Genomic DNA, 13354 nt, shown 5'->3' on the forward strand with positions numbered 1-13354 from the left:
CTTTTCTCCCCGGAACAATAACACATCCTGGCTCCGTGATTTCGTCGCCATAGGAACTGGAAAACATTTGATAACATGGAGCCTCTGGGACAGGTGGGCTGAGCAGGTCTGAATAAAAACAACCCTTTCCTGCCCCTTCACCCAGAATCCAGGCATCTGGTCTATTTGCAGCAGGTTAGGTAAATAGCCTGGGGGGAACCATGCAGCCACCTGAACTGACCGACCTTGTCCAAACTAGGAAGTCAGGGAAGTCACTGTCTATGCTGGCAGGACCTGGCACAAATTCCTGGTAGGAGGAAATGGGGCCTCAGGCACCCTGTCTGGACATTCTGAGTATCCTATGGTGTGCCTGTCCCCAGCACATGTGGGCTCTGTCCTGGACACTGTGGGGAATTAGAAGAAGGAAAGAAGGGGGACAGGGCTCCAGGCTCAGAAAGCACGTGGTCTGCTAGGGGGCAGGGCACATATAGAAACAGTCCTATTAGGTCCCAGTCCTAGCACAGATGGGGAATTACACGGATCAGTAGGGAAGGAGTTGGGAGGTAGGTTCTGGGAGGGGATGGGGTTTGGTGGAATGGACCAGAATTCTCCATTCCCCAGCAAGCCCTAACCAAGTGTGGCACCGTGCTCACATGCACAATCTGGGTCCTGGGGTGACTGCTGGGGGCCAGGGCACTGCATTCTCTTACTGGCTTGGCCGTCTCAGCCTTCTCTGCCTGATGCTTTTTGGTTCTACGGTCCTTGCTTTTACTCTTCCAGTGCTGTTGGGCACTTTCTATGTAGGGCACTTGACTTGGACATCTTTTTTTTAAATTTTAATTTAATTTTTAATTGACAAATAATAATTGCATCTATTTATGGAGTACAATGTGGTTTTTTTTTTTTTTGAGTTGGGGTCTTGCTCTGTCACCCAGGCTGGAGCGCAGTGGTACCTTTGTGGCCCACTACAGCCTGAAACTCCTGGGCTCAAGTGATCCTCCTGCCTCAGGCTCCCGAGTAGCTAGGACGCCAGGTGCACACCACTGTGCTGGCCAGTGTGATGTTTTGATACACGATACATTGTGGAATGACCAACTGATCATCTAGATGTCAATATGCCCCACCCGCCCCTAAGATTATGCACACTCACCCCCTACACCAAATGTCTCTTCTTCCCTAAAGCACTGACAACATTCCAGGGTTAAGCATTCTCTATATCCAGCCTGTTGCCAATGTCTAAGGAGTCTCAGACAGCAAACCTCTCACAGGGGCCTCCCTTCCTTTCCCCACAGCCAGTGCCCTTGGCTGAGGTCACATCTTGCACAGGACCCCCTGGGGTCATGCCCTGGGGAAACTGTGTTGCCTCTCTCCTCCTCCTTGCTCCCAGCCCATGGGCGACAAAGGCCTGTCAACTGTGGCCTAGTAATGTTTTCCATAGGCAGCCTCTAATTAGTCTCTGTCTCCTGGCTCTGTCCCCTCACGTCCTCCTCCCTGCAGAGTCAGAATCCACTATTTTTTTTTTTTTGAGATGGAGTTTCGCTCTTTTTGCCCAGGCTGGAGTGCAGTGGCGCAATCTTGGCTCACTGCAACCTCCACCTCCTGGGTTCAAGCGATTCTCCTGCCTCAGCCTCCCGACTAGCTGGGATTACAGGCATGTGCCACCACACCCGGCTAATTTTGTATTTTTAGTAGAGATGGGGTTTCTCTATGTTGGTCTGGCTGGTCTCAAACTCCCAACCTCAGGTGATCTGCCCACCTCGGCCTCCCAGAGTGCTGGGATTACAGATGTGAGCCACCGTGCCCAGGCAGAATCCACTTTCTAACACACAGCTCTGGTCCCAGCACTCCTGCTCAGAAACCATCAATGGTCCATCCCAAGTTCATGTTCAATGTGTAGGCTGAAGCATAGCATTCCAGAGCCCTGCCCAGGGTTAAGTAGTTCATTCTGGGTACTTGGGGAAGTTGCCCTGCCAGCCTTTGTCTCCTCTCCTGTAAGGTCATGGAGGAGGTGGGAGCTCTGCAGAGCACCCCCGTCCTGGCCCTCCACAGGCCTGTGAAATGATTTGCTCATGGACCCAAAGTGAGTATGTGGGTGCAAGGCTGTGCTTTGATTCCAGGAAAATAAATGGACAGAAGCAGAGGGAAGGAGGGGAATCCAGGGTTTTCCGATACCAGCCAGCCTGAAGAGAGGAAAGGGGAAAAGAGATACACAAAAGCATATGAGGTAGCAGGACCTGGCCGTGGGCCTTTGTGGCTGATCCAAAGAGGTTCAGAATCTTAAGTATGTTCTAGGACTGACACAAGAGGGGCTGGACACCATCATTTCCTCTGCCTCAGGGTGTCAGCCCACAAGAAATGAGATGGCTCCAGGTCCAAGTCCTGCCAAATTCTCTGTAGAATATGTTTACAATCTGGTTATCTTGGAAACTTCCCCACCCTAGTCCAGGTTTACTATTTACCAAAAACAAACAAATTAAAGAGCCAAGCATCAGAAATGATGCAAGTTCCGTGTCAGCTCTCAGAGGCCGTGAAACACCTGGGCAATCAGCAAGGGTGTGATGTCATCCGGAGAAATGCTTGGCTCACAGACATCTCTGGTCACATGGGGGCTTTCCCCACTGAGCTCAGTGTTTCTGATGGACAACCAAGACACAACAGAAACTATGTCACAATAAACTCTGTAAGTCATGTGATGGAACACAAAGCTGTAGCCACAGAGCAAAGATTGAGAGCAAGCATTACTTAGCAGAATCTGGCTCTGCTGGGATGCTGGCCTGCTTTTTGCTTTGGCTGGAAAGTCAGCTCCACTGCAATTTCAGCCACTCTCCTTCCAGGAAAGAAGCTCTCTATGAAAGGGTTTTATCAGAGGCACCAGCTCTAGAATTTCTTTAGCAAAAATCCTGAACTCAACACCAGTCTTCCCTACTGAGCTGCTGTCTCCTTGTGTGGGCTTGGCCTCCACGTCTGCCCCCAGGGAGAGGCAGGCAGCCTGAGCCAGCCACTCCTTCATCCCAGACCAGAGTGGCCCACATGGAGGCTTTAATGATTACTGGTTTAAGCCAAGGGAAGGGTATGGATTTTTGCAGACAAAGCATTCTGCTCAGAAAATGCCTGGTAGCAAGTTGAGAATTTTAGGAAGCAGAAAGGTAAAGAGGCATCGCGATGGGAGCAGGCTGTAGCCTACACCATTCTCTTGCCCTCATTCTTCCAGACTCCCACTCTTTGCAAAATAGCTGTTGACCACCTGGAATCCTGGCACTGGGCCCAATGATGTGGGCAGTTCATAAGTGGACAACCAGGTCACTGTCCTCAAGGGGCTTTTGTTCTACTCAGGAAAATAAAACTGCCACAGCCCAATGCAATAACAAGCAATAGAGAACAGCATGCAATCTACCATAACACCGGAGCAGAAATGCCACACAGGGGGAAAAGCACAGATGTTCCCAATGCAACTGAATTCTAGCCCAGCCACTCACTAGCAGCTGTGCGACTTTGGGCAAGTTGCTCAAACTCTCTGAGCCTCAGTCTACACATCTCTGAAATGGAGATAAAAATGCCTACCTCACAGGGCTGTTGTGAAAAATGAAATAATGGCTGCAAAACAGCTGGTCAAATGCCTGGCACATAGCAAGTACTTAGGAAATCATTATAGTCCCCTTAATTCCTTTTAGGGCCAAGATGTGCTATCAATAGATGAATCATTTATATCTGATCTCTAACCTCGGAGCAAATTAGAAGCAATAAAGTGAAAGTACTAGAAGGGCAGCTCAAAAGCAGCAAGGAAAACTCACACATGAAAGCCTAGTGGTGAGGGAATGCCTGGAAACAAGTATAAAAGTAGATGCAAAGACAAAGTAACACCTGGGGACTACCTAGTTGGGCAGCAAACAGCCACAACCTCCAAGGCCATCATCACATTACAAGACAGCAGAATAGATGATGTTTGTAACAAATATGTTCAATAACCTCTAAGATGCCAGGGATGCGTGTAGCATATTTTAAAAGTATTTTCATCCAAAATATGTAACATGTACAAAATTCTCTTAAAAGTGTGTGTGGATACTGTCCAGAAAATTCCTCTGCCACAATTTCCAAGTGGATGCATTAGCTGGGTTTTTTTTTCTACTTCTCTACTTCTCTTGTATTTGACAGAGAGCTTAGAGTCATGCTGAGCACATCAGGAGGGCTTAACAAATCCCTGTTTACTAATGAATCCGTACAGCACTGGAATATGGTTTGTTCTGTTTTCCATTTTCAACCATTGTATGCATTAACTGATTGAGGTCAAGGATGGGCTCCAGCTTCTCTTTGAAATAGCTGATATCTCCAGGCTCCCCTGGCACCCCCACTGACCTGTTCCTCTTTCCATATTCCGGATTTTAGTTAATGGGGCATCATCTACCAGAGAGCAAAATGTTAACAACAAAGATAATAGCTACATTAGTCAAATTAGTGTGTCACCTGTTCTAAGCACTTGCTAGGATTCTGGCTGTCTGTGTATGTCACCTCACAGGGTAGGATTAGTTATTTAGGTTTTTAGATTCAGAAGGTGACAGTCAGAGAGGTTAACTTACTTTGTACATCACCCATCTGTTCGCATCTGACCCCAACTCGCTCTGCTTGCAGTCCCAGGGTCCTGTTGTTCATGGGGGTGGTGGTGGGGAGTGCTTGGCCACAGCTACTGCCCAGGGATCCCCACCCCTCCCGCTGTCCCCCTTACATTCTCTAACCCCCTGAGCTGCCAAGTCTGGGGTGAAACTCAAGGCCCTAGGCTTTGTGACATGCCTGTGGGGTTAGGCGATTTTCCACTTGCTGAGGCTGAAGATGACCCCGAGAGCAGGAGTGTGGCACCTCACCCAAGGTGAGGATGTCCCCAGGATTCAGAAGAGCCTGGCCACACTCCTTACCTGTCTGGCCTCTGCCCGGCTCCTGGCTGGTGTCAGCCACTGCTGGCTGCTGCCCGAGGGCAGAGGGTGCTGGTCCTGAGCAGAGATGCCCCCTGTTCACCAGTCCTGGCCTCCCAGCCTGGGGTATGCCTCCCACCCCCTGCCTTGCCCTGCTTCCGGGGTCTCCAACAGAAGGCTCTCAACTCCCCCCGCCCCACGACCAAAATGTCTCCTTCCATTTTCCACTTCATTTTTGACTTTCATTTTTTAAACGTAAAAAAGACTAAATCCTTTTGGGAATTATCCCATGAGTAAATAAGATCTCTCTGTGTTCACAAATTCCTGCTTTGAGCAATTGGAGACTGCTCTTCCTTTCCCTTCTGAGGCCTAAAGCCCATCAGTGGTCCTGGAAATACAAGGTGAGCTTCCCTGTCTTGGAATCCTTATCCTTCCCCTCTACATACACAGATTGGAATGGGGAGGTGAGCCCAGCAGAGAAAAGGAAGTCTGCTGGGTTTTGGAATTGGAAGCTGGACTCTGCCATTTACTTGCCGTGTGACCCTGAGTGAGTGGAGAGCTCTAGGTTTTGTTTTCCTTATATCCGAAATGGGAACTGAAACTGTTCCCTCACATGTGAGTTTAACAGAAGGAGCCTCCCCTCCCCCACCTATCCAGCATGCAATAAAGTTCTTGGTATGCGCTAAATTCTTGTCTGAATTCTACTGATGCCCATGTCTTCCACGAAGTCTTCCAGATTATCCCAACTGTGGTAGACAGCTAACTAACTACCCTGTATCTACTTCCTCCACTTCTTCACTAACAGAATCCCAATGTTGCTTTGGGGAGCAATGTGTCCAGCTAACAAACTTCCCAGGCTTCCTGGCATTCAGGGGCTCATGGGTCACAGGTAAGGCCAATGAGATGAAAATGGAAGCATCTGGGGATGACTTCCGAGAAAGCCCTTTAAAGGAGGCTGACTCCACGGATGTGTGCTCTGCTGCCTCTTACCCTCTTTTCTCTTTTATTCTATGGGATGAGAATATGATGTCTGGAGCCACAGTGGCCATGTCACGACCATATGGCAACCTTGAAGATGGAAGTCACATCACATCCTAAGTATGGCAGAGCAAAAGGGTAGAAGGAGCCTGGGAAACTGAGGTGTGGCGAGGAGCTGCAACGCAAGCTCTGGTCCACCAGACTCCAGGGATTATGTGACATGAGGAAAGAAGAAACCAGTCCTGCTGGGCTATTGGCTGGTGTTCAGCACCTGGCAAGGTGGCTAGAACTTGTGAGGCTCTCAGTACATTTGATGTTAACTGGCAGGTACCAAGGGAGCAAGATGAGAAAGGAGATGGAGGAGGCTGGAAGGCTGTTCAGATTTGATCAAATGTCCCACAGTTTATCCTATAGATACATTACCTGCACATAACATTATGTGTGGGTGAGTTTATTCACTGCAGTATTAGATGCAATAGCAAAAAACTAGAACCAGCCTAAATGTCCATCAATGGGACATTGTTTAAATACATTATGGTTCATCCATACATTGAAATATTATATTTTTGTACAGTTCTTGAGCTAAGCATGGTTTTTACATTTTTAAATGTTTAAGGGAAAATTAAGAATAATATTTATTTATTTATACATATATTTTTGAGACGGAGTGTCACTCTGTCACCCAGACTGGACATTGCAGTGGCTATCGGCTCCCTGCAACCTCTGCCTCCCGGGTTCAAGGGATTCTCATGTCTCAGTCTCCCCAAGTAGCTGCGAATACAGGTGTGTGCCACCACACCCAGCTAATTTTTGTATTTTTAGTACAGATGGGGTTTCACCATGTTGGCCAGGCTGGTCTGGAATTCCTGACCTCAGGTGATCCACCTGCCTTGGCCTCCCAAAGTGCTAGCATTACAGGCGTGAGCCACTGCACCTGGCCAAGAATAATATTTTGTGATATATGAAAATTACATGAAATTCAAATTTCAGTGTCCATAAAAAAATTTCACAGGAACACAGCCACATTCATTAGTTTAGGTATCATCTGTGGCTGCTTTTGTACTACCATGCAGTATTGAAAAGTTGTGAGAGGAGGCCTATGGCTCTCAAAGCTGAACGTATTTTCTACCTGGCTCTTTACAGAAACCATTTGTAAGGCCTTATGCAGACATCTCTGGAAAGCTGCAGGAGAAACTAACCACAGCTGGAAAGTGAGTGTCCACAGGATAGGGTCAAAAAGGAGACTTCTTACAGCATAACTTTTGTATGTTTTGAATTTTGAATCGTGAATGTTTAACCTACTGTAAGCTTACTTTGAAATCTATTTATTTATTTTTAATTTTTTTAATTAAAAAAATAGAGATGGGTTCTTGCTATGTTGCCCAGGCTGCTCTCAAACTCCTGGCCTCAAGCGATCCTTCTGCCTCAGTCTCCCAAATTCCTGGGATTATAGCTGTGAGCCACAGCATCCAGCCCTTAATTTGAAATTTAAAAAGAAAAAAAGAAAAAGGGCCCCATTTCCCCTCTGGGACTGAAGGAAGAGGAAGAAGAGATGGAAGAAGGGGTGGCTAACTTAGTGCTGGTCTGGGTGAGGTCATGGGCCTACAGTGGAGAGGCTGCAAGGTGATCCCAGACTTGCCCTCAGCCTTGTGCTTGCTACGTGACCCAGGACATTCCCCTTCCCTGTGGGCAAGTGGTCAGTGCTGCCCATGTGCCTAGAGGCCCTGGCCCAGAAAGGGGCCAGAAGATTGGCCTCCATCTCTCTGCCTGCAGGGGAAACAAGAGAAATGGACACGTACACCCGGACTGTGGCCTCATCAGTAGCTGATAAACAAGAAGCAGAGTGGATTGGGAATGTGGAATGGTGAGAAGGACATGGACACTGGATTTTAGTTCTGCTTAGCCACCAACTGTCCCTGTGACCTTAGATTGGCCATTTTCCCTTCAGGGCCCAGCTCTATCCCTGCCAACTGGGGCCTTGACCAGAATGATGGTCCTGCAACTGCCATTCCTCTACCCCTTCCACCCACTCCCTTCTGTTTAGCCTATTGGGCATCCACTCAAGACTTCACAGAGGCCCTGGATTGAGAAAATGACAACATACAAGTCAAAACAATAGCCGGTGTGCTAAATAATCTGTAGGACACATGGTTCTGCCACTCCATAGCTCTGAGAGCCTCCCCTGGTACAAGTTCTTCAGGCAGAGAAGTCCAGGAAACACCCTTCAGACACAGGCAGAGCAGTGGGGACACCACAGCCCTGGATGATATCCAGTCTGGCAAAGCAATGGCAGGCAGGAGGTGGCGGGAGGGGTTCATGGACATGGTGGAGGGCTTCTCATGAGCAAACCCAGGTGGATGCACTAACACCCTGAGTGCTGGGAATTCATGGCTGCAGCTCCAGAAGATCCTTGAGGAAGTCCTGCTGGCGGCGAAGCCCACACGGACATGGCGTTCTGTGGAGGTCTGTCCATCTGAGCAAGGTGTGTGGCTGCATCCTCCTGGCCCTCATAGTGAGGACCAGCCAGCTCAGAGGACAGCCAACATCCTCAGAGGGTGCTAGCTATGTCCTCAAGGCTCCCTCAGGCCTGGAAGCCTTTCCTCTCCCTCTTCTCTATCAAGCCCCCATGCCTTGTTCATGACCCTGCTCAAAACTTTCCTCTTGAACCCACGAGCTAACTTGAAGGGGCTGCTGATGGCCGAAAATGAGATAGTTGGAGCCACAAAATAAATAATGATCACAATAGATTATAACTTACAGCATTTAAGGATAAAACAAGAAGTAATGAGTCTATACCAATAGAGGTAAATATTCGAATAAGCAAATAAACAGGCAAGAAGGGAGAGTTCTTCCTTAAAGCAGCATTATAATTAGTAGGAATTAGAAGGCATGATGGAAATAGAAAACACTTGGCAAACACTTACCATTATAGTTGTGTTAAGCAAGAATCATCAATGGAAACAAACACTCATGAGCGAAAATGTAGAGAAACAAGATGCTTACATTATCTCAAAGCGCCTTCCCATAAGATGGTTAGTAATTGCAAAGAGAAAAGTAGTCACTTTATAGTAGGAAAAATGTGGCAGACTCCACCTTAACCAGGTGATCAGAGTTAACATAATAAATAATAGAACATATCAACCTCATGTACCATCTGATATAATGTACCAAGAAAGGCACAACATAAACTTATGTGGTGCTCTTAAAAAATTTGGCTGAGCGTGGTGGCTCATGCCTGTAATATCAGCACTTTGGGAGGCTGAGGCAGGAGGATCGTTTGAGTCCAGAAGTTTGAGATCAGCCTGGGCAACATAGGGAGACCTTGTCTCTATAAATAATTTAAAAATTAGCCGTAGCGTGCTGTGGAGTGTGCCTGTAGTCCCAGCTGCTCAGGAGGCTGAAGTGGGAGGATCACCTGAACCTGGGAGGCGGACGTTGCAGTGAGCCAAGATCGTGCCACTGCACTGCAGCCGGGGTGACAGAGTGAGACCCTGTCTCAAAATAAATAAGTAAATAAATAAGTAAAGAAAAACATAAATAATAAATAAATAATTCACAACCTGAGGAAATACCAGCTAAACCCAAATTGAAGGACATCCTACAAAATAAGTGTCTAGTATTCTTCAAATGTTTGAAGGTCATGAAAGTGTAAGTGTAAGCTGAGGAACTATCCCAGACTAGAGGAAACAAGGAAGCTTGGCAACAAATGCTCTATGTGATCCTGGATCGGCTCCTGGTCAGATAAGGACATTTGTGGGGCAATTGACAAAATTTGAATCAGGTTTGTAGTTATGTCAATTTCCTGGTTTTGATGATGCACTGTAAACATGTAAGATGTTAACATTTGGGGAAAGTGGGTGAAGGGTATCGGGAATTTTTTGTACTATTTTTGCAGCACTTATGTAACTTAGAAATGGTTTTTGACAAAACAAAACAAAAACCTCTTCTGTCCAACTTCCCCAGAATCACTCCCACAGCTGTGTCACCAGCTACTTCACACGTTGCATTGCTATTGTTTACACATCTGTGTCCCTCAGGCTTTGAGTTCCAGGACAGGGACTCTGTTTCTTCAATCTTCAGTTTGGCCTCATTTTAGAAGTCACGTTTGGATGGAGGCTGGCTGTCCCTCTTCAGAACAACTCTCCACTCTACCCCTTCATTATCCCACAGTAAAAAGCAGCGCTGTCCACTCTGTTGCTCAGACAAAATCGTAAGGGTCACAGTTGACTCTCTTTTTGTCTCATCCCACGGTGGGTCCACCAGCAAGTCCTGTTGGAGTTCTGCCTCCAGAGTTTATCACCAACCAGATCACTTCCCTGCTCCTCCGCCAGACCCCTCATCTGAGCCTCCATCACTTTGCAGCTGAACCTGAGCCTCACCTTCCTAGCCGACTTTCCCCTGCCTCACCTTCAAGTCCACTTGGGGCAGCCAGAGGGATCTTTTCAAGGGGAAAGTAGGGTCTCACATCACTCTTTGCCTAAAACCATTCCCCGCATTGGTTTCCCAGCATGTACTATGAAAGTCCCTACCTGCTCTGGGGCCCTGCCTTCCTTCTGCCCTCAGCTTGAACCTGTCCACCCTCCCTCACCTGGCTCCAGACACACACCTTTCAGCTTTGCTGCAGATATGGCAGGTTTGTTTCCATCTCTAGGATGTGGATTTTCCCCGGCTTTTCCCACAACCATCTCCTTCCCAATATTCAGGTCTCAGCCCCAGTGTCACCTCCTCAGATAGACCTTACCCGATCTGGTAGCCAAAATCCTGCTCTTCCCCTAACACTCTTTGTCCCTATATTAGTTTGCAGTGGCTGCTGTAACAAAGTGCCACTAACTGAGTTACTTAAAAGCAACAGAACTGAACTGTGTCACAATTCTGGAGACTACAAGTCCAAGGTCAGGGTTGGTTCCCTCTGGGAGCTGTGGGGGAGAATCTGCCCCAGCCCTCTCTCCTGGCTCCTGATGGTTTGCTGGCGATCTCTGGTGTTCCTTGGCTTGTAGAAACATCGCTTCAGTCTCCACCTTTATCTTCACATGCATTCTTCTTGTGTACATGTCTGTCTCCAAATTTCTGTTTTATAAGGACACCAGTCATATTGGATTAGGGCCCACCCTACTGACTTCATTTTAATTAGATTACCTCTGTAAAAACCCTATCTTTTCATGCCACTGCACTCCAGCCTGGGCGACAGAGCGAGACTTTGTCTCAACAACAACAACAACAACAACAACAACAACAAAACCTATCTCCAAATAAGTGTACTAGGGATTCATGCAGAACCCCTAGTTTTTTTGTGGAAACATAGTTCAACCCATAACAGTCTCATTTCCATGTTACATTTAATTTACAGCCTTTATAACCATTTTGAAGTATATTGTTTACTTGTTTGTGTTCATTTCCTGTGTCCCCACACTATATCCAACATAAGCTACATGAGGACAGAAGTCTCCTCCAACCTCAGTGCTTGGTGCTTTTGCTCTGCACAGGGGGATCTAGCCTCTATTTCTACTGCATGGGTCAGGATACCTCTCTCAGGCTGCCCCAAATGAGAGGAACTAGCCCTGCCCTCACTCAGTTTCCACAAGCAGCCAATGGGATTGTTCCACATGCATTACTTAGCTCAGTGTCCAGCCAAAGGTTTGCAGCATCCAACCCTGGATCCAGCCATGAACTTCAGAGCTTCAGAAATGCCCTACATATAGTAAATGCTCAGTAAATACTTGCTGAAGGAATGAAGGCTGCATATAGTTTGGACTTTGACTCAGGTTGCGTGCCCTGCAGTCAGGGGGAACTATTAGCATAAGCTGATAGTTCCAGGCAGCCGCTGTGGAGCTAGACTGCTTGGGTCTGCGCTTGTGCTGTGAGATGTGGGCATGTTACTTATCTACTCCTTGCTTTGCTTTCTCCAACTGTAAAATGGGGACAATAATAAAAGTAATAAAAGTATCTCCGTAGTCGAGTTGTACAAAACGAGTTTACATATGCGGACAGAGTGCCTGGCTGAAGGTAGTGCTCCATGCTCACCCAGGCTTGGTCTGAAATCTGAGAAATGTCCTGGTAGCCAAAAGAACCAAAGCCCAGAGAGGCTTGTCGGGTCCATCAGGGATGCAGAAGCTCCAGGTTTCTGCTCAGGCCCCCGCTTCAGAATCCCCATCTGCCCCCAAGGAGAGAACAATTGAGCACTAGGGAGATTTTGACCATAAAAGCTTTTTTCAGTTACTAGCTGGGTGGACCTTGGGGTTTCATTGGTGCTTCTGGCTGATTGAGAAGGAAAAAGAGGATCTAACTCCTCCCACTCTTTCTGAACTCCTGAAGCGAGGTGTGGAGCTTCCAGATGACTCAAGCAGCGCCAGTTCCTTGGAATTAGCCACTCTGGCTCAAAACCATCTGTGTTGCAACAGGCTCACTCAGCCACCCCCAGAAAAGCTGACCCACCACTCACTCAACTGGCTTTCTGATAAGTATGCCTATATATAGCCATACTTACCGAGCTTTGTATAGATGCATGCACTTGGAAACCAGCAAAGCTAAAAATACCGCCTCCTCATACCTAATTTACTTATTTTCTGTAGGTTCCTTATTCTAAATTTATAGCTCAGGAGACTGAAAATTGTTGCCAGAAAGCAGTGACCTTTCTGTGGTCGTGGGCGGGAGGGGGACCAGAGGACAGGCCCTGTCTGGGAAACTTGGGGATTAGGTCTCAGTCCCAGCTCTAAAGGCAACGTGCTGTGATGCTTTGGGATATCCTCCCTCTTGCTGGGCCTCAGCATCCCTCAACCGAAGGAACAACTGAACATGATGGTGTAAGGTGTTTCTTTTGTCCTTCTATTCATTGGCACCCAGCTTGATGTGCTAAGTGCAATTGTACTCACGGGAAAAGTCAATACAGATACACCAGAGCCATTGATTTCTGTTCATTCATTCACTTGACAAATATTTACTGAGCACTTGCTATGTGTGAGACAATAATCTCTACTCTCAGATAACTTATAACTTACATTCAAGTCAGAAGAGACAAATAATAAACAAAATATAGTAAGCATTTAGTATGTTTGATTGTGATAAATGTCATGGAGAAAAATCAAAAGGAGGGTATAGAAGAAGGGTGTAGTTTTAATTAAGGAGGTTAGAGAAGACCCCACCAAAAGGTGTGGTTTTTTTTTTTTTTTTTTTTTTTTTTTTTTTTTTGAGACGGAGTGTTGCTCTGTCTCCCAGGCTGGAGTGCAGTGGTGTGATCTCAGCTCACTGAAACCTGTGCCTCCCGGGTCCGAGTGATTTCCCTGCCTCAGCCTCCCAAGTAGCTGGGACTACAGGCACACGCCATCACACCTGGCTAAATTTTGTATTTTTAGTAGAGACGGGGTTTTTGCTGTGTTGGCCAGGTTGGTCTCGAACTTCTGATCTCAAGTGATTTGTCCACCTTAGCCTCCCAAAGTGCTGGGATTACAGGTGTGAGCCACTGCACCTGGCCAAAACGTGGTATTTGACTAAAGACG

General features: G+C 47.2%; 1 annotated feature.

Annotated features, from left to right (window-relative positions):
* Positions 1541-2079: an enhancer, noted in NCBI's record as "H3K4me1 hESC enhancer chr1:212661052-212661590 (GRCh37/hg19 assembly coordinates)". NCBI's record gives its function as "activates a minimal SCP1, AML or CMV promoter by ChIP-STARR-seq in primed H9 embryonic stem cells {active_cell/tissue: H9 hESC(primed)}" and the evidence as "EXISTENCE:reporter gene assay evidence [ECO:0000049][PMID:30033119]".

Source organism: Homo sapiens, chromosome 1 (assembly GCF_000001405.40).
Source record: "Homo sapiens chromosome 1, GRCh38.p14 Primary Assembly".
Lineage (NCBI taxonomy): Eukaryota > Metazoa > Chordata > Mammalia > Primates > Hominidae > Homo > Homo sapiens.